The 20978-nt window shown below is 40.2% G+C and overlaps 1 protein-coding gene and 1 pseudogene across 4 annotated transcripts in view, besides 1 other annotated feature; one reads left to right on the top strand and one right to left on the bottom strand.

Moving 5' to 3' along the window:
* Nucleotides 1-6291, top strand: part of ADAMTS9 (ADAM metallopeptidase with thrombospondin type 1 motif 9) — a 172347-nt gene extending 166056 nt beyond the window's left edge. For 2 of the 4 annotated variants that reach the window (XR_007095711.1, XR_245151.1), the window contains 2 exons: nt 3933-4115; nt 4824-6291. The gene's annotated coding sequence lies outside the window, so the exon portion shown is untranslated. The remainder of the gene's footprint in view (nt 1-3932; nt 4116-4823) is intronic. The other 2 variants (NM_001318781.2, NM_182920.2) reach the window with 1 other exon arrangement.
* On the bottom strand, nt 10088-10190 carry RNU6-739P (RNA, U6 small nuclear 739, pseudogene; annotated as a pseudogene).
* Nucleotides 13398-14597: an enhancer, noted in NCBI's record as "BRD4-independent group 4 enhancer chr3:64493024-64494223 (GRCh37/hg19 assembly coordinates)". NCBI's record gives its function as "activates an origin of replication core promoter dependent on BRD2, P300/CBP, MED14 and CDK7 cofactors, and independent of BRD4, by STARR-seq in HCT116 cells {active_cell/tissue: HCT116}" and the evidence as "EXISTENCE:reporter gene assay evidence [ECO:0000049][PMID:35650434]".

Raw genomic sequence — 20978 nt, 5'->3', positions numbered from 1 at the left:
TTATTTATTTGCTTTTAGATTTTAGATTCAGGAGGTACATGTGCAAGTTTGTTACACTGTTATAGTGTGTTGAGATGTAGGCTTCGTTTGAACCCATCACCCAAATAGTGAAAGTAGTATCCAATAAATAGTTTTCCCTTCCCTTCCTCCTCCCTTTTGGAGTTACCAGTGTCCATTATTTCAGTCTTTATGTCCATGTGTACCCAGTATTCCACTCCCACTTATAAGCAAGAGCATATGGTATTTGATTTTTTGTTTCTGTGTTAATTCACTTAGGAAAATTGCCTCCAGCTGCATCCATATTGCTGCAAAGGACATGATTTCATTATTTTTTATGGCTGCATAGTATTTCATCATGTATACAGACCACATTTTTAAAATCCAGTCCACCATTAATCGGTACCTAGGTTGATTCCACGTTTGCTATTGTGAATAGTGCTGCAATAAACATGTGAGTGCAGGTGTCTTTTTGGTTGAATGATTTATTTTCTTTTTGATATATACCCAGTAATGGATTGCTGGGTCAAATGGTAGTTATATTTTTAGTTCTTTAAGAACTCTCCAAACTGCTTTTCACAAAGGATGAACTAATTTACAGTCCCACCAACAGTGTATTCCATTTTTCTCTGCAGTCTCACCAATATCTGTTATCTTTTTACTTTTTAAGAATCGCCATTCTGATTGGCATGAGATGTTATCTCAGTGTGGTTTTGACTTGCATTTCTGTGATGATAAGTGATGTTCAGCATTTTTTCTTATATTTGTTGGCTGCTTGTGTGTCTTCTTTTGAGAAGTGTCTGTCCATGTCCTTTGCCCACTTTTTAATAGGGTTATTTGTTTTTTTCTTGTTGATTTGCTTAAGTTCCTTATAGATTCTGGATATTATTCCTTTATCAAATGTATAGGTTAAAAATGTTTTCTCCTATTCTGTAGATTGTCCATTTATTCTGTTGATAGTTTCTTTTGATGTGCAGAAGCTCTTTAATTTAGTTAGGTCTCCATTATCAATTTTCATTTTGTTGCATTTGCTTTTGAGGACTTAGTCATAATTTGTTTGCCTAGGCCAATGTTCAGAAGAGTATTTCCTGGGTTTTCTTCTAGAATTTTTATGTTTTGAAGTCTTACATTTAAGTCTTTAATGTATCCTGAGTTATTTTTTGTATATGGTAAGAGGTAAGAGTTCAATTTCATTCTTCTGTATATGGTTAGCCAGTTTTTCCAGCACCATTTATTATAGGGTGTGCTTTCCCCATTGTTTATTTTTGTTGATTGTGTTGAAGTCCAGTTGGTTATAGATGTATAGCTTTATTTCTGGGTTCCTTATTCTGTTCCATTAATTTTTGTGTCTATTTTAGTACCAGTACCATGCTGTTTTGGTTACCTTTAGTTTGCTGCCTTGGAGTAGAGTTTGAAGTCCGGTAATATGATACCTCTGGCTTCGTTCTTTTTGCTTAGGATTGCTTTCGCTTTTAGGCTCTGCTTTGGTTCCATATCAATTTTAGAATAGTTCTTCTTCTAACACTGTAAAGAATAACATTGGTAATTTGATGGGAATTTTGTTGAATCTGTGTATTTCTTTGGGCAGTATGGACATTTTAATGCTATTGATTCTTCCAATAGATGAGCATGGAACGTTTTTCTATTTGTGTCATCTATGATTTCCTTAAGCAATGTTTATAATTCTCCTTGTAGAGCTCTTTTACCTGCTTGATTAGATGTATTCCTAGGTATTTTATTCTTTTTGTGGTGACTGTAAATTGGATTGCATTCTTGATTTGGTTCTCAGCTTGAATGTTATTTGTGTATAGAAATGCTTCTGATTTTTGTACATTTATTTTGCACCCTGAAAATTTACTGAAGTCATTTTTCAGGTCTAGGAATCTTTTGGTGGAATATTTAGGGTTTTCTTTGTATAGAATCATATTGTCAGTGAAGGAAGATAATTTGACTTCCTCTTTTCCTCTTTTGATGTCTTTTCTTTCTTTCTCTTGCCTGATTGCTCTGGCTAAGATTTCCAATACTATGTTGAATAGGAGTGGTGAGAGTACACATTCTTGTCTTGTTCCCATTCTTAGGAGGAATGCTTCCAACTTTTGCCTGTTAAGTATGATATTGGCTGTGGGTTTGTTAGAGATGGCTTTTATTTTGAGGTATGTTCTTTTGATGTCTTATGCCTTGTAGGTTTTTATCATGAAGGGATGTTGGATTTTATCTAATGCTTTTTCTGCATCTATTGATATGGTCATATTGTTTTTGTTTTTAATTGTTTGTGTGGTGAATCACATTTATTGACTTGCATATGTTGAATGATCCTTGCCTGCCAAGAATAAAGTCCACTCGATCATGGTAGATTATCTTTTTGGTATGTTGCTGGATTCAGTTTGCTAGTATTTTGTTGAGGATTTTCATGTCAATGTTCATCAGGGATATTAGTCTGTAGTTTTCTTTTTTTCTTGTGTTTTTGCCAGGTATTGGTATCAGGATGATAGAGGTTTCATAGAATGAGTTAGGAAGGAATATCTCTTCTTCGATTTTGAAAAAATTGTTTCAATAGGATTGGTACCAGCTCTTTGCAGAGCTTATTTAAAAGGCTGTTTATTGGGCTGCATCTCTAGGGGTCCTGCTTCATTAGGTCTCTGGTGGATTCAGGGATCTGTAACTTTAATACAGAGAATTCTAATGCAAGTGAATCACAGCTCATCCTTTGAGAAATACATCCCAAGAATGTAATAGTAAAACTACAGTGGCATTTGTTGAGCAATATTTCATTGAATCCTCACAACAAAACTGTGTGGAGGAGCTGCTATTTTACATATGAGGAAGCTGAGGCCCACAACAATTAAGTAACTTGCTTAAGATCATGATGAGGCTGGGCACGGTGGCTCATGCCTGTAATTCCAGCATTTTGGGAAGCTGTGGCAGGCAGATCACTTGAGGTCAGGAGTTTGAGACCAGTCTGGCCAACATGGTGAAACCCCATCTCTACTATAAATTCAAAATTTAGCTGGGTGTGTTGGCACATGCCTGTAGTCCTAGCTACTTGGGAGCCTGAGGCAGGAGAATCGCTTTAACCTGGGAGACAGAGGTTGCAGTCAGCCAAGACCACGCCCCGCCACTGCACTCCAGCCTGGGTGAGAGAGTAAGCCTCTGTCTCAAAAAAAAAAAAAAAAAAAAAAAAAATGAAAAGGTAATGATAAATTCCCTCGGCAGAACTCAGAGTGTCCTACACTAAAGCCAGTGCTCTTAATCACTCCACTGTGCCACACCCCTGTTACTCATGGTGTGGTCCAAGAATCAGCTCGATCAGCTTTACCTAGGAACTTGTTAGAAATGCACAATGTCAGGCCTCACCCTATACCTGTGAAATCAGAATCTGCATTTTAACAAAGTCCACAGGAGTCATGCATGTTAAAGTTCGGCAATCCCTGACCTGAGTACATTATGCCAGAAGGTGATTCTTCTGCTGAGTAAAAGACGGAACTGGTCAGTCTTTTTATCATCCCCATGTCTTCAGCTGCAAGGAATGAGCTCAACCAATTCATGTGACCCACCTGCATCTTCCCTCAAGCTTCCAGTAGCCCATTACCGTGTAAGGCTCTTGAAGATCCTGATACAAGAGTGCCTATTTGACATTTAGGATTATTTCTGTTACAAGGAGCTAAGGAAATGAAGGAAATTTGTTATCTTAAGAAACTGAGATATCCAAGAAGTATGCTAGCTTCAGGCATGGCTAGATCCAGAAGTTCAGTCATCAGTACTCTCTTTCTTCATCAATCAGCAATGATTGCCTCTTAAATGTCTTCATTCTCAGGCAGATCATTGCCCCCTACACCATGGTCCTGGGCAGCTCTAGGATTACATCATTCTTCCAACTTATGATTCAAGTAAACACTCATCTCCTAGCATGCATTCTGCAAAATATCTCTGTTTAGCTCTGGTTAGGTCGCATGGTCGCTTTTGAACAAATCACAACATCCAAGGATCTGAGATCATGTACCCACCTAGAGTCAGGCGATTGACAGCTTCAGTTGGAAGAGGGATGGTTCCCAAAGGACAAGAAGGCATTTTGTTATCAGAAAGGAGGAGATGGGATGGAGGCATGGAAAAATCAGCAGGTATCCACTAGAGATCACCATTATATACGTACTTTATATATTTTGTATCTAAGAAGATAAATTTTATATAGCACGTATATACAATATTTACATATATAAACATATATTTATAGAAAAAAGACTAGAAGGAAATACCAAAATACCAATATATGAAGAGCAGTTATCTCAGGTGGGGGGATTTCAGGCTAGTGGGTTTTTAAATTTTATTGTTTATTACTTCCCTGAAACCTCCAAGTTTCTTACAGCAAACAAACATTACTTTTAAAATCTAGGGCCAGCGTGGTGGTTCATGCCTATAATGCCAGCACTTTAGGAGGCTGAGGCAGGAGGATTACTTGAGTCCAGGATTTTGAGACCAGCTGGGCAACATAGTGAGACTCCCATTTCTGCAAAAAAAAAAAAAAAAAAAAAAACCATTTTTAATTAGCTGGGCTTGATGGTTTGCACCTGTAGACCCAGCTACTTGGGAGGCTGAGATGGGAGGATTGCTTGCCCAGGAGGTCAAGGCTGAAGCAAGCCATGATCATGCCATTGCACTCCAGCCTCGGTGACAGAGTGAGACTGTGACTCAGAAAAAATAAAAATAAAATCTAGAGAAAATAATAAGTGTTAATTTTAAATTCTATATGTAAAAATTTATCAGTTGCCTATTCTTAACTTGCAGCATTTGAGGCAGAAGGTTTATATTTTCTGGTTTGTTTATTTCAGGTGCTTTGAAGAGGAAGCCATTATGGATGGATGAAGGATAGTAATGCAATACCTCCACCTTAATTTGGGTGCATGTGTATGTGTGTGTGTGTTTGTGTGTGACTTGTATGCTTGTGTGTGTAAATGTGTGTACATATACATATATACATATCTACACATACATATATACACATATATGTGTGTATGTAGATATGTAGACTATCCTAATGATGTAAAGTTTAATATTTATGTTTGAAATTATTTATTGTGATGTAATATTTTTGTACGTAAAATGATTCTATTATGACTGCCTTTGCATGTAGTAATATGACAAAGTGATCCTTCATTATCACGGTACACTATTGTTTACTTTTCATCTGTAAATGTTTTATTGTTACTTTTTTAAAATGAATTTTTTTAAAACAATCTAGCCATCATCAAGGTGCTATAAGAGTTGTATAAAAGATATTTTTGGCATTTCTAGGCAAGTATCAGCCAATAAGTATGTTAGTGATATCACAGATTGTACCAACTATTAACTATGTTAAATAAGTATTCAGTTTCATGTGATCTCTGGGAAAAAAATATGCTGCCTTGGTGCTAATATTGTATGTATTTAAATGATCATCCGACTCAGAAATATAAACACTTTTAATGAAAGGGAGGAACGGAAGGACAATTTCCAGTGCACAGAATCACTTGGATGAAATAAGACCAGCTCTTTACCCTTATTTTTGGATATGCCTTTTTTGGAAGAGACTTAGACTTTATCCTTATTGTTGTTAGTGTTGTTAATATTCGTTGCTTCAGCCCACGGTGCCTTGGTCTCTCCACAATCAAATGGAGGATCCCCCAAGCAGCTTCATTACAGAGTGATATTGGGAAAGTGAGATCCTCTCACCATTTTGCCAAGATACTCTAAAATGACATCCAAGTTTACCAGTAGAAAGACACAGGATGCACAGAATGGGCATGACCTTCAGCTCACGAGCACACCTGGAGAAATTCAGAACCAGGTTCTGAATCATCACGATTGCCTTTTGCATGAAAACATCGGCTGGTGATGTGACTTCTCTTCAGGCCATGAGCCTAACACCCTGCCGGTTTTCATGCCCGCTGCAGTAATGGACGTTTGTGTGAAGAAATGAACTGTGGAGTACAAAATGCTTTGAGTCTTTCCGATTGCTCATTAATTCACTTTTTTGTTACTTCTTTCCAAAATGGAAGTGCTGAAGCCATGGTCTTTCTGCCCCTCCAAGCTGATGAAGGGAAGCCTTTGCCAATGGCCCATGGAAGACACTTGGTTTGAGAAACCCTGCCCACTTCCAAAGACCAAAGAGATTAGGAAAAGCCTGGCAGTATTCTCCAACTCCAAACAAGCTCTAGAGTGCTCCAGGAAAAGTTATATTCAGTATATGAATAAGTGTTATTCTCCATTATTAATGTGTTCTGAAAATATATTATGAATAAATACATCACCACACCCAAACCATTTGTGTTTCGCATAGTTTCTGGACTCTTGAGTCAAGTTGGAGTAAAAATGTCTCTAGTTTCCAGATGGAGAAGAAGTGAAGATTTTATCTATTTCATTTATTACAATTGCCATTCTAGAGACAGATGGGGATGGGGCTTGTCCATAAGATCTGTCTTTTCATCATGCAAGTCAATTAAAGTGGTTCTTCTGGAAACTGGGAACTTACCCCTCTTGGGAAACAAATGAGCAAAAAAACAATATATTTAGGTGGGCTTTGGGTGCTTAATTGTTCATTTTGTGCGTAGTTCCTACCCTGTATGGTGTCCAGGGAAAAAAGAGAGCTTTTTAAACATGTCTACTAGAAGCAAATGATCATCGAACAGCCACCATATGCCAGGCCTTTCACTTTTATTGTTTCACTTCATCCTCACAACCACAAAATACACTAGGTAATAGACTAACCTTCATTTGATGGTAAGGAGACAGAGTCTTAGAGTTACAAACAGGCTAAAGTTCACACACAGTGAGTAAGTAGTCGTCTCCCAAAGAACTCTGGCTCTGATTGGGTCACATGACCGCTTCTGGACCAATCACAATATCAAGGGGCCTGGGATCCTGTGCCAGCCTAGAGTCAGGTGATCAACAGCTTCAAGTGAAAAAGAGATGGTTCAAAGAAGAGAAAAGGGGAGATAGGATGGAGACACGAAAAAAGCAGGCATCCACTCAGTTTCCCATTGTGTGTGTGTGTGTGTGTGTGTGTGTGTGTGAACACATGCATGTGCCTGTGTACAATCTCCAAATCGCAGAGCTTACACCAAAGTCCTACCCCTTGCCATCACTCAGCATCATTTGAGGCCTCAGTTCTCTTCCTTTCTCTGGTGTTTACTAACTGTATGATCTTGAGCCTTAGTTTTTTCATGTGTAAAATGAGGCTATTGATAGTCCTCCCACTTACCTTCCAGGATAGTGTTTTCTCATATCCCTTTTAGCCCTGCATCAGTGCTAGCAAAATAGCTGCCCTCAATATGTGCGTCAGCAAGCTTAAGCTGACAGCAGTGAAGGCATGGGCTCCCTAATCAGTTAGGAATTGTGTTCAGCACCTAATTAGAGATCTGACTGCAAGGGCTTACATATTTAAAAGTGTATTTCAGGTCGGGCACGGTGGCTCACGCTTGTAATTCCAGCACTTTGGGAGGCCGAGGCGGGCGGATCACGAGGTCAGGAGATCGTGACCATCCTGGCTAACACGGTGAAACCCCGTCTCTACTAAAAATACAAAAAAATTAGCCGGGCCTGGTGGCGGGCGCCTGTAGTCCCAGCTACTCGGGAGGCTGAGGCGGGAGAATGGCGTAAACCCGGGAGGCAGAGCTTGCAGTGAGCCGACATTGCACCGCTGCACTCCGGCCTGGGTGACAGAGCGAGACTCCGTCTCAAAAAAAAAAAAAAAAAAAGTGTATTTCATTGTTATGTAAAAGTATATTTCATTGTTATGTAGGAGGTAGGCAATCCAGATGGCAGCTCCACGACTTCATCAGGGACAGAGTTCATTTCTCTTTCTCCTTCTCTCTTCATTCTTCCGTATTTCAGTATGGCTGCTAGTGCTCCAGCAATCACTCCCAAATTTCCAGGTGACCGGAAAAAAAAAAATAATAGGAGTAGGGAAAAGAGTAGAAGGTGGCATATTTTCAGTTCTCTATTGTTCTTTTAAAGAGGTTTTTCAGAAACCTTACCTAACAAATTTTACTTATATCTCCTTAGCCAGAATTCAGTCATGTGGCTGTAGGAGTAGTGGGGAAATGGGGTTGTTTCACACAGTACCTTGCCATAGAAAATAAAATGAGGCATCTGTTCCTAGGAAAGAAAGCAAAATGAATTTGAAAGAGGCAATTACCAGTCTCTGCAATAGATCAAATACAGAGATTGAAGAGAGAAAGTTTTGGAAGCATTTATAGAGTCAGTAAGAGATAAATGAGACCTGGAGTGGTGATCATTGTAATGGTACGGAAAAAAACAACTATAGAGAGATACAGGTGGTAAAATTAATAGGAGCTGACAACTGATAGATTTGGGATGGGCTGTGGGAGTGAAGGAAACAGTAAGAGTTCAAAGATGAGACTTTATTTTCGTTGTAAACACAACCAGGGTGACAAAAAGATGAATGGGTGGGTGGATAGACAGATGTACAATCTATGAGAGTCCAGTAATCGTTTATATTTGTGTAGCACTGCACAAATTAAATATTGTCTTTGCATTGTATTTATTTAATCAAGTAATATTCATTGCATATCGACTAATTTTGAGGCACTCATCTAAGGCCTGGGTGCAGCAGTTTCAGTTAAGGTCAAGGCTAAGAGACAGCATGAGTTTGCTCAGGCTGCCTTAGCAGAATACCACATACTGGGTGGTATCAATAACAGAAATTTATTCTCTCACAATTCTGGAGGCTAGAAGGCCGAGATCAAGGTGCTGTCAGGGTTGGTTTCTGGGGAGGCCTTTCTTTCTGGCTTATAAACAGGCCTCTTTTCCCTGTGTCCTCACATTGCCTCTCCTCTTTGTGTATGCGCAGAGAAAAAGAGACAGAGATTTCTGGTGTCTCTTCCTCCTCTTAACAAGGTCACCATTTCTATCAGATTAGAGCCCTGCCCTTCTGACCTCGCTTAACCTTCATTACCTTCTTATAGGCATCTCCAAATACAGTCACATTAGGGTTAGGGCTTCAATATAGGAATTCAGGGGTAAGGACTGGGGACAAAATTCAGTCCATAACACAGGCTGTAACAAAGAGACTCCAAAATGAGGTAGACTTTTATTTCTCTTACTTGCTGTCCAGAGGTAGCAGGCACTCTGGGACTGGTAGGTGACTCTGCTCCATAACATCAGAGGACTAAGATCCTTCTGTTTTGTATCTTGGCCATTCTCAAAGCCATTGTCCTCATATGGTTCCTCCTCGCAAGGTCTGCATCCAGCCTGCAGGAAGGGAGCAATTGTTTGAAGGCAAGACAGGGAAGGTGAAGCATAATTTTTATTTACAATATATTGGCAATATTTTATTGGCATAGCCACACCTAGCTGCAAGTGAGGCTGGGAAGTGTACTTTCCAGCTGGCAACCACATGCCCAGCTCATACTAAGTGGAGGTGGGCGGGGGGGGGGGTCTGTTACTATAAGGAAGAAGGAGAGAATTGTTACTGAGGAAATTAGTTGCTTCTGCCACAAACAGTGAACAAAAGTTACAAACATCTCTTTGCCTTTTGAGCTTACATTTTGGCAGTGACAGAAGAGAGAGAAAACAAGCAAATCAACAACTAAACCACCCTGCAATTATTTTCCAGTAATAAATCTGACCATATTGTCCATGATGGCTGCTCATCTACCATGATGGCCTGGGATGGCATTCCCTGAGCACCAAGAACTTTCATACCCCAGAGTGTGCAAAGATGCCATGGTTCCCTTTGCCTTGGCACATTGATTTTTCTTTATGCTCTGATTGGTACAGAAGTGAAAAATAGCAAGCGAAACCTAGTGTGTCAGAAGGTGAGAAGCATCGGAGAGAGAGATAAAATAGGGAAAAGGAATTGGGAATGCCAGATGCCATGGGGTGAGCATGTTGCTGTTTTAAATAGGGTGGTCAGACATTTCTTCTTTACAAACTTCATAGCTATGAGCAAAGCTGTGGGTCCCCATCAAAGCCTGCCACTAACCTCGCTGAGCGTGGGAAACCACCTATCACCAACAGACGGTGGGAGAGGTCTTGCTCTATTATGCCTGGACCATTGCACTGATAATCTGCTTATTTTATTTTATTTTAATTTTTTAATATGGAACACTTCACGAATTCGTGTGTCATCCTTGCACAGGGGCCACACTAATCTTCCCTGTACAACTCCAGTTTTAGTATATGTGCTGCCCAAGCAAGTGCTCTTCTCATCTTAGAGGTCATTTTGCAAAGCGGCTTATGATCCTTAGAAGTCCTAAGCCCTAAAAAGATGATACTTCTCCCCTCGAATATGTACCTCAAAATGACAGATAACTCCAAGATGCATCTCAAAATGCAGTGACTCAGTATAATCCCAGGTAGGATTGCTTGTGGCCAGGAGTTTGAGACCAGCCTGGGCAAGATAGAAAGACCCTGTCTCTACAAATAAGTTAAAAAATTAGCCAGGTGTGGTGGCACGTGCCTGTAGTCCTAGCTACTTGGGAGGCTAAACTGGGAGGATTGCCTGAGCTCAGGATTTAGTGGCTATAGTGAGCCATGATTGTGCCACTGCACTCCAGCCTGGATGACATAACGAGGCCCCATCTTTTAAACAAGAACTCCAGACCAGGAAGTTGGTCTTTTTCCATGTATATTACTTTTCCTTTTAAATATCAAATACTGATTTTTCCAAAAAAGTTTTGAAGGCAATTTTTGCTGTAGCTCTAGGGGCATGTTGGTCTGCCAGGTAGGCAATCAACTGGTTTTATAACATTATTCACCCCAGTGATTTCCAGTAGGAACAAAAGGAACAAATATTCAAAGTGCTAATAAGAAGGGCATCCAATTACAATGGGAAAGAAACAGTGACTTTGCGCAGAAATGTACATCGTCATATGTGACTTGCATCCTGCCACTTGGTTTGGACTTAGGATCAAATGCCTTATAGGCCACTGATATGAGATGTCTCAGCGTGGTCAAGGATGGTTAGGTGTAAAAAGAATTGATACTCAGTTTATTACATTTACAGTTCAGAAACCTAGTTGTTCCTTAAACTTTTGATTCAAACTTACAAATTCTATCATTTTATTTATTTACTAGCCTAGTTTTCTTCAATTACTTTAAAAAAACCTTTCGACTAATGTTTGTCTTATTTGTGACTTAATTAAAAGGCTTGAAATATTTTGTATCACATTTGTACATTTAACAGATTATATTTCTGTCTTAGGTCCTTCAGTTATCTCACTCAGCAAACCTTTCTGAATACTTAAATGATTTAGGCCAGGCGTGGTGGCTCACACTTGTAATCCCAGCACTTTGGGAGGCCGAGGCGGGCGGATCACCTGAGTTTAGGAGTTGGAGACCAGCCTGGCCAACATGGTGAAACCCTGTCTCTACTAAAAATACGAAAATTAGCTGGGCGTGGTAGGGGGCACCTGTAATCCCAGCTACTTGGGAGGCTGAGGCAGGAGAATTGCTCGAACCATATATATGTGTGTGTGTGTGTGTGTGTGTATAAATACACACATATATAGAATATGAATATTATGTAAATCAATGGACTTAAAGTTCTTTAAAATATTCCAAAATAGAAAATTAATGTAGTGTAGTTTTGACTTAAAATCACAAATCTAAATCAAGTACTCAATGACACGTTTTAAACTGGCATTATAAGCTGCCACTATAAAAGTTCGAATTTTTAACATCATGACAATATAAACCACTAAGTTTTAACATATTCTTCTTAATATTTCTGGTGTCTTTGAAGATTTTTATGTCTCAGATCTCACTCTTGGCATGAATAAAAGTTGTGTGCTCGTAATACCTATTGTAGAGCCAGAGGTTACCTTGGGCACAGGTCTGGGGTGGAAGACAACCAGGGAAATTCTTTTTACTCCAACTAAGGAAACTATGAGATCATCCCATGTAAATTTGAGGGAAGCCTTCTATATTGGTTTCCTATGTTGCTGCAGCAGATGACTTCAAATCTATGTGGCTTTAAACAGCACATATTTATTATCTTACAGTTTTGGAGGCCAGATATTTAAAATGGGTCAGCAGGGCTGCGTTCCCTCTGGAGGCTCTAGGTGGAGAGTCTGTTTTCTTGCCCTTCCCAGCTTCTAAAGTCTGCCTGCATTCTTTGACTAATGACCCCTTCTTCTATCTGCAAAGCCAGCAGTATAGTATCTTCAAATCTCCCTCTCTCTCTGACCTCTGTTTCCATCATCATGTCACCTTTTTCTGGCTTTTACTCATTTGTCTTTCTCTTGTAAGGACCCTTGTGATTCCACTGGGCCTGCCAGGTACCCCAGGATCATCTTCCCATCTCAACATCCTTAACTTAATCACATCTGCAAAGTCTCTTTTGCCATGTAAAGTAATATAAAGGCATGTATACAGGTTTTGGAGATTAGGACATGGATATCCTCGGGAGGCCGTTATTCTATCTACTCCCCCTTCTGCAAACATTTAAGGACCAGATGCTGGTCTGTCCAAATCCCCAACAAGCCACACTGGACTTTACGTCAGTGACCCTTAACTTCAAGCGAGGGGTGTTCCCATAGCCCACGTTCCTGGATTCATATTCCATGTATTGCCTAATTTTTCTGACTACATTCCAAAGTCTGCAGCCATTTTATTGCTTGATTGATTTTGTATGTGGCTGTTATATACAAATCTCTTTCTGCTTTGATCCAAAGACTTTTGAACTTGACAAGAATTCTGCAGTCTTACACATACTTCCTAGGACATAGAACTCTTATAGTGCTAGGTGTTGGTACACTGAATTCTGGATGTCTCTCATGACTTTGTCAAGGCTCATAAGACCTCTCTTATGACAGACTTTTAGTACGTGAGCCATTATTAGGTACAGAAACTTCCATGGGCATACTTGGTAGCAGTGCTGTCTTCATCTTTCTTAGTGAGCCAGGATATTTCTTCAGTGCTTATTGCTCAGCTTCACAATTCCACAGAATGGATGCACCTCTGAGAGCCTTGTGAGCCCCAACATGACCAGGGCAAAAGCAGGAGACTTAGTGGGATCCCAGGTGGATCCTGGACACACCCCAGCCTTACTCAATCAGTCTCTCTAGAGGTGGGACCTGAGAATCCAAGTTTTTAACAGGCTCTCCAAGAGACCTTTATGCACACTAGAGAGACTCACCTTTACAGTGTCCTTGCCACACAGCAGTGGAGTCTCTAGGCAGTGGCAATGTCCCTCATCCCATTGCTTTAGCCCTACAATTTTTTGCATGCTGGACGTGTGGTCAGGACCTACAGGCTCTAGAACAGGACACAGTGGCTTATTTGGGTCCCCCTACTCCCTAGTTGTATGACTTTGGACAAGATCTCTACACTCCCTGGACTCACCTTCCTCATCAGTGAGATGGAACATATTGGCACCGGCATCTGCATTATATGGTTGCTGTGAAGCTTATTGTGTTAATTAAAACATTCAGAACACTGGCTGGTATATAGTAAGTACTCAATATCTCTTAGCTATTTGAAGTTTATGTAATACATAAATGCTACATATAATCTGTGTTTTAGTTTGGGAAAGGTTATTATGGAGAAGGTGTTGGCCCAACTTTCATCTCAACTCCATGACCAAGTGTTGAGAAAACTGGATTTTCCTGTTTATATCCTTCTCAGGTTCCATTTGCTTGCACAATACTGCAGTTCTTTCTGTTTCCTTTCCCTAAATGCAGATGCACGTTGTTCAACAGAAGATATCAAGACTAAAAGGGGCCTAAAAGGGCATATAGATAGATCAGCAACAACAGAAATAATAACTATATCATAAGAAGAATATTAACTACATTTATTGACCATGCCTTAGTCTTTTCAGGCTACTATAACAAGATAGGGTGGCTTATAAACAATAGGAATTGGCCAGGTGCTGTGGCTCACGCCTGTAACCCCAGCATTTTGAGAGGCCGAGATGGGTGGATCACAAGGTCAGGAGTTCAAGACCAGCCTGACCAACATGGTGAAACCCCTGTCTCTACTAAAAATACAAAAATCATCCAGGCGTGGTGGTGGGCACCTATAATCCCAGCTACTCAGGAGGCTGAGGCAGGAGAATCACTTGAACCCAGGAGGCAGAGGTTGCAGTGGGCCGAGATCGTGCTGCTGCACTCCAGCCTAGGCTCCATCTCCAAAAAAAAAAAAAAAAAAATCACAAAATAGGAATTTATTTCTCACAGCTCTGGAGGCTGGAAAGTCCAAGATCAATGTGTCAGCAAACTCAATGTCAGGTGAGGGCCCGCTTTCTCATAGATAGCTGTCTTCTCATTCTGACCTCACAGGGCAGGAATGAGAGGTCTCTTTCAAGCATCATTCATAAGGTCATTAATCCCATTCATGAGGGCTCTACCCCTATGACTTAATCACCTTCCAAAAACCCCATCTCCTAATCTCATCACCTCAGGGAGTAAGTATTTCAACATACAAATTCTGGGGGGACATGAACATTTAGACCAAAGAAGACCACTTACTATGTGTAATGGTTAATTTTATGTGTCAACTTGAATAGGCCATAGTATCCAGTTTTGGGTCAAACACCAGTCTAGATGTTGCTGTGAAGGCATTTTTTAGATGTGATTAACATTTGAATCAGTACTCTTTGAGGAAAGCATATTACCCTCCATCATGTCAGTGGGCCTCGTCCTGTCAAATGAAGGTCTTAAGAGAAAAAGATAGATGTCCCCAAAGAAAGGAGTTCTGTCTTCAGACTGCTTTTAGACTCTAGCTGAAATGCCATTTCTTCCCTGGGGTGCCAGCCTGCTCATCTGCCATGCAGATTTTGGACTTGTCAGCCCCCACAGTCACATGAGCCAATTCTTTAAAGTATCTCTTTTTATCTCTCTCTCTCCATAGGTATAATAGATAGACAGATAGAGATACAGATAGATTAGATAGATACATAGATTAGATAGATAGATAGATAGATAGATAGATAGATAGATAGATAGATAGATGATAGATAGATCGACCTAGAGATAGATCTATCTCCATTTCTATCTATTCTGTCGGTTCTGTTTCTCTGGAGAACCCTGACCTAGACCAATGCAGTACGTGACAGGCCAGAACTGATCCTCTGCACAACTCTGGAGGGCACCATTCACCCTGAGCTGAAACCTGCCAGGAGCTTTGTAAATGCTTTGCACATGGCCTCTCGTGGAACCCTCATGATAGCTCTTTGAGGGAGCTGCTATTTTTATTCCCATTTTAAAGATGAGGGAATCAAAGGGTAAGAGAGTCAGCTCTCAAACCCGGGGTCTTAACAGCTCAATGTAGGTGTGATTCAAAGCAGCTGTGTCCAGGACATTAAAGAAGTTAAAACGCAGTGCCAAAACTAGAGCCAACACCTCCTCATTCTTGCCACACTGCCTTTTCACACCAGCAAGCTACCTCACAGAAAGAAGAGAAAATTTATAACCTTGCTTCACAAGAGCAAGCGGAGAAAGAAAGAAAATTAGTCCCGACTGGAACGTTTCCGGTGAGTGCTCAACTATGTTTCGTATTAGCTGCCACTGGTTAAGAGCCATAGGCCCCTGAGAACTCGAGATAAAGCAATTTTCCAGTTAGTGACTTCGACTTGCCTCCTATTCTCTTGCTCTTTGTATCTCAACTTTCAATATGACTTCAAGGCACATAGAAATGCCTGCCTGGGTGTCCTTCTGGGTTTTCTGCAGGAGCTCTTTTTTTTTTTTTTTTTTAAATTATTACACTTTAAGTTCTAGGGTACATGTGCACAATGTGCAGGTTTGTTACATATGTATACATGTGCCATGTTGCTGTGCTGCACCCATTAACTCGTCATTTACATTAGGTATTTCTCCTAATGCTATCCCTCCCCCCATCCCCTTGCCCCATGACAGGCCCTGATGGGTGATGTTCCCCTTCCTGTGTCCAGGTGTTCTCATTGTTCATTTCCCACCTATGAGTGAGAACATGTGGTGTTTGGTTTTTTGTCCTTGCAATAGTTTGCTGAGAATGATGCAGGAGCTTTTCAACAAGGAAAGGTCAGGCAAGAAGTGCTGGGCTTATTTGCATCCCCTCAATCTTGAGACTGAAATGAAAACTCTTTGTCCAAGGAAAGACCCTAGCTCTTCTCTCAATGGTTGTCTGAGGCAGAGAGACCTGCAGCTTTTAAGAAGCCCTAAGTTGTCTTTCTGAAGTGAGGTTTGTTTTCTATCTCCCCACCAGGTATTAGTCCATTTAGGAAATACTGTTAAAAGCAATTGCTTGACCAGTTCGGGCTAACCCAGGGGTTTCCAAATCCATGCTTCTTGCGCAATTTACAAAATATTTTCTTTGTAGTTGTCCTTGAAGCCCAAGAGGAACTAATGGCTTTAACTACCAGCCTACATGTTTCAAAGTGATTTCCACAACAGGAAGCCATTGTCGGCTTCCCCAAACCCTTAATTGGTATAGGATGTGAGCAATTCTGAAAGGCCACGCTTCTTGTTCCAGCCCCAATTCATCGCTCAGATAAGAGCCGGTTTTCAGCAACGATTTCCATTTCTGCCTCCTTGTGTTTGCTAAATCATTTATGGCTCCATTTTTCTATGGAATAAAAGACTTCTTTGGTCATGAAAAAGCATTATAATTACCCCTGGCACCCAAGAAATGGAGTTGGCTTTGCAGTCACAAAGACCAAAGTGCTCTGTGTTGGCATAAAACCCACGAGGAACAGCATCAAAAACAGCCTTTGCAAGTGCATGGTGGTAAAGATCACAGCCTCTAAAATCTAGACAACTTACTTCTCTCTAGACGTCAGTTTCCTCGTTTGTCAGTTGGGGTTATAATGGTACTTCCCTTACAGGGTAATTCAGGGATTAAGTGAAATATGCACAAAGTTCATAGAACAGTAACTGGCACATAATATATTACATAAAGCAAGTATTTATCATCCTCCTCCTCTCTTCCTCCCTCCGGCATCACCATCATCATTCTCATTGGCAGCATCTTTGAGTAAGAACATCTTTTTAGAAATTATGCAAAACTCAGAAGTTATAAGGAAGAAAAGTTAAAAATTTAACCATATAAAAATAAAATATATATATATGAAAAAATAAAGAAATCCATAAACAAAGTCCAAAGATAAATTCTAAACTGGGAGAAAAATGTTCTCCACACATTTGCCAGATTAAGGCATTATTTCCATTTACAAAGATAAATAACTTGCTTTTAAAAAAAGTGTTTGCTGAAGAAAAATAAAAGAACAGTCAAAATAAAGAAGAAAGAGAAAGAATGAGAATAAAAGGAAAAAGAAGAAATATGGTGAAAACACAGGCAATTTTTAGAAAACTTAAAGGAAATGACAAGCAAATGAATTACACCCAATTTATTTCATAATCAATGGAATATACATTAAAAGATCAATGAGAATTTTTTTCATCTATCGAATGATGAAAACATTGGTAGTACTCAGTATTTGCAAAAGTGTTCTCCACCTCTAGGGCCACTTATAGTGGCTCATACCTGTAATCACTTTGGGAGGCCAAGACAAACATATCACTTGAGGTCAGGAGTTCAAGACCAGCCTGGCCAATGTGGTGAAACCCTATCTCTACTAAAAATACAAAAATTAGCCAGGTATGGTGGTGCATGCCTGTAATCCCAGCTACTCGGGAGGCTGACACAGAAGAATGACTTGAATCTGGGAGGCGAAGTTTGCGGTGAGCCAAGATAGCGCCACTGCACTCCAGCCTGGGTGATAGAGCGAGACTCCATCTAAAAAAAAAAAAAAAAGTGTTCTCCACCTCTGCAATGGGCAATTTGTTAATTCTCAAAATCATAAATTTTTAAGTGTAACTTAAAAATAATTTCCTTAAAATATAATAGGACTAATAGAAGTGTATTGTAGCATTCTTTTCAATAGCAAAGTCTTAGAAATAACCTAATGCCCCTTAATAGTAGATTAGTTAAATGGGCTACCTATATAATGGTATATTAGTTATCTATTGCTGCATAGCAAATCACCCTGAAACTTAGGAGCTTACAACAACACACATTTACTGTCTCATTGTGTCTATGGATCAGGAATCCAGGTATGGTTTAGAGATCCTGAAAGGTCACAGACTACGTAGACTACAATCAGACGTTGGCCAGCATTGTAGTCATTTCTAGGCTGACTGTAGAGGGATCTGCTTCCAAGCTCACCCCATGGTCGTTGGCAGAATTCGGGGCTGTTGGCCAGGAAGCTGCCCTCAGTCCCTTGGATCTCTACATAGGGCAGTTCATGACATGGCAACTTGCTTCCTCAGAGTGAGCAAGTGGAAAGAGCCTGAAAGAAAATGACAGCAAGATGGAAGTGACACCCTTTTATAACCTAATCTCAGAGGTGACTGTATTAGTCTCTTCTCACACTGCTGATAAAGACATACCTGAGACTGGGTAATTTATAAATGAAAGAGGTTTAATTGACTCACAGTTCCATATGGATGGGGAGGCCTCATAATCATGGCAGAAGGCGAATGAGGAGCAAAGTCAAGTCTTACATGGTGGCAGGCAAGAGGTCTTGTGCAGGGGAACTCCCATTTATAAACCATCAAATCTTGTGAGGCTTATTCACTACCACAAGAACAATATGGAAGAAACCATCCGCCATGATTCAATTATCTCCACCTGCCTTCTTCCTTGACATGTAGGGATTATTACAATTAAAGGTGAGATTTGGGTAGTGACACAGCCAAACCATAACAGTGACATGCCACCCCTTTTGCTAAATTCTATTCATTAGAAGCAAATCATTAAGAAATTCAAACATCATGAGTTTTCACTCCTAACTTCTTCAATATTCATCTTTAAAAAATAAGAACATTCTTCTCCCTAACCACAATGCCATTATGACATCTGACATAATTAAAATAATTCCTAAGGCCTTGTTTCCATCCTAAAATGTTTCCAGTTGTCCCAAAATGTCTCTTACAGATGGTGTATTGGAACCGTGAGCCAATTAAGATCCACATGTTGCATACATTTGATCGTTATTTCTCTTAACTCTCTTCTAAAGCACCTCCTTTGTTTTCATGCTACGAATTTGGTGAAAAGGAGGCCAGTGATCCCATCTTCTGGATTTATTGGTGTACTTTCTCGTGATGTACTTTAACTTGATCCGCTAACTCCTGTGTTTCTTATAAACTAGATGCTAGATCTAAAGCCTTAATTACATTCAGCAAGACTATTTCATAAGTGACACCGTGTCCTCCAAATTCTAGGAGGCACAAAATGGCTGGTTGTGCCACTACTGATGATATTTAAATTGATCAGAATTATCTTTTTAACTGTTCATATCACTCTCCTGCTTAAAACCCTGTAAACTCCATCACAAATAGAATAAAACCCTAGTTGCTTACCATAGTCTTGCCCTTGTCTACTTCTTTCCCCCTTGGTCACTACACATCAACCACACTGTTGCTATCCCTCAAATGGACACTCTCCCCCTAGAACTTTTTGTGGCTGGCTACTTCTCAGCCCTTTCCAAAAGCCCTTCTTCCCAAGCCCCTTGCTGACTCATAGCCCTGTTTTATTTTCTTTGGCATTTATCGCAACTTGAAGCAATTTCAGCTTTTTTTTTTTTTTTTTTTGGCTTGTGTATGTCTTTAAGTGTTTATGAGTCTGTCTTCCCACACTGAAATATAAACTCCTCAAGGGCAAGCTGCTCACTACTGTACCCTAAAAATTTGAAACAAGCCCTGGCACTTAGTAGATTCTCAATAAATATTTGTTGAGCAAATAAATTGAGCATTTTTTCAATGTGGTTTATATTAAGATACAGTTTCTAAGACACCTAAATTGATGAGAATAAAAACAAAGTACTGGCCACTATCTGTATTTTGGGGAGGGGATTGTTTGTTTGTACTTCTGTCTTCACTGCTCTTTTTGGAGGGATATATAATGCTTTCATGCCAGAGAATGTTGCTATTCAAAGTGTGGTCCACAGACCAGCAGCATCAACATCACCTGGGAGCTTGTTAGAAATGCAAAATGTTAGACCCCCAGCACAGACCTATGAATCAGAAGCTGTACTTAACAAGATCGCCAGCTGATTTTAATACATTTTAAAACTTAAGAAGTACTGATCTGAAATCCTGGTCTATTCCACTTCTCCTTCCCACCCTACTCTCCGACTGCACCCAACCTCCCCATTGTTAAGCCTTACTGGCCCATCCCAGGAAGCAGCTTCTGGTGCCTCTGGAACTATTTACCTAAAGGCTTATCTTCTCAGGCTTCTTCCCTCCGGATTTTGTTCTGTTTATAAATACTGAGGCTGAAATGTAAACCATACTGAAGCTCTTCTCTAAATGGCCTGCGTGTCCTGGTAAGCCTTCACATCTGCAGGTATCTATTGACATATCTTAAGCAAACAATTTTAAATGATTCCACTGGTGCCCTGAGTTTAGCTTTTCCCTTTATCTTGCCTGGTAAGCAGATTGAGGTTAATGTTTATTTTTAAAGCATGCAATACTCACAATATTTCTTAAACATGGGTTGAAGTCACATACCACCAGCCTCGGAACTGGGGTTTGAGCTCATTCCGTCTGATTCTAAAGCCTGGGCCGTTAATCTCTATGGAGCCATAAGCACAAAAGTATGCTTTACGAAAGCACCATTCGTTTGTCCATTAGTTCATTCACTCATTCAAAAGGCATGTGAGAGAGTTGGGTGATAAAGAAATGTAGAACTCTTCAGCCCACCAGGAGAGGAAACGAAACAAGCACAAAAGTAACCTTACAATGTTGAGTCATGTTACATGTACCCAGTGTAACATACTCTGGGTACAGTGCAGGACTTCATGGAGGAGGTAGCAGGCATAGGTGCCTTTGAGGAGCAGAAGGCCCAGGAAATCAATGTCCTAAGACTGTCCCCAAACCCTTGGATCTAACTTGATTCAGGATCTTGGGTGTCTTCTAGGCAATCACTGGGCTTTAGTCTCTTTAGGATGCACCCAGCAATCCTGTAGGACTCAGGGCAAAGGGTATTTGCCTTCATGCAACAAA

This window comes from Homo sapiens, chromosome 3, assembly GCF_000001405.40.
Source record: "Homo sapiens chromosome 3, GRCh38.p14 Primary Assembly".
NCBI classification, from domain to species: Eukaryota; Metazoa; Chordata; class Mammalia; order Primates; family Hominidae; genus Homo; species Homo sapiens.
The sequence above is the reverse complement of the archived record's forward strand: the minus strand, read 5'-3'. Positions and strand labels throughout refer to the sequence as shown.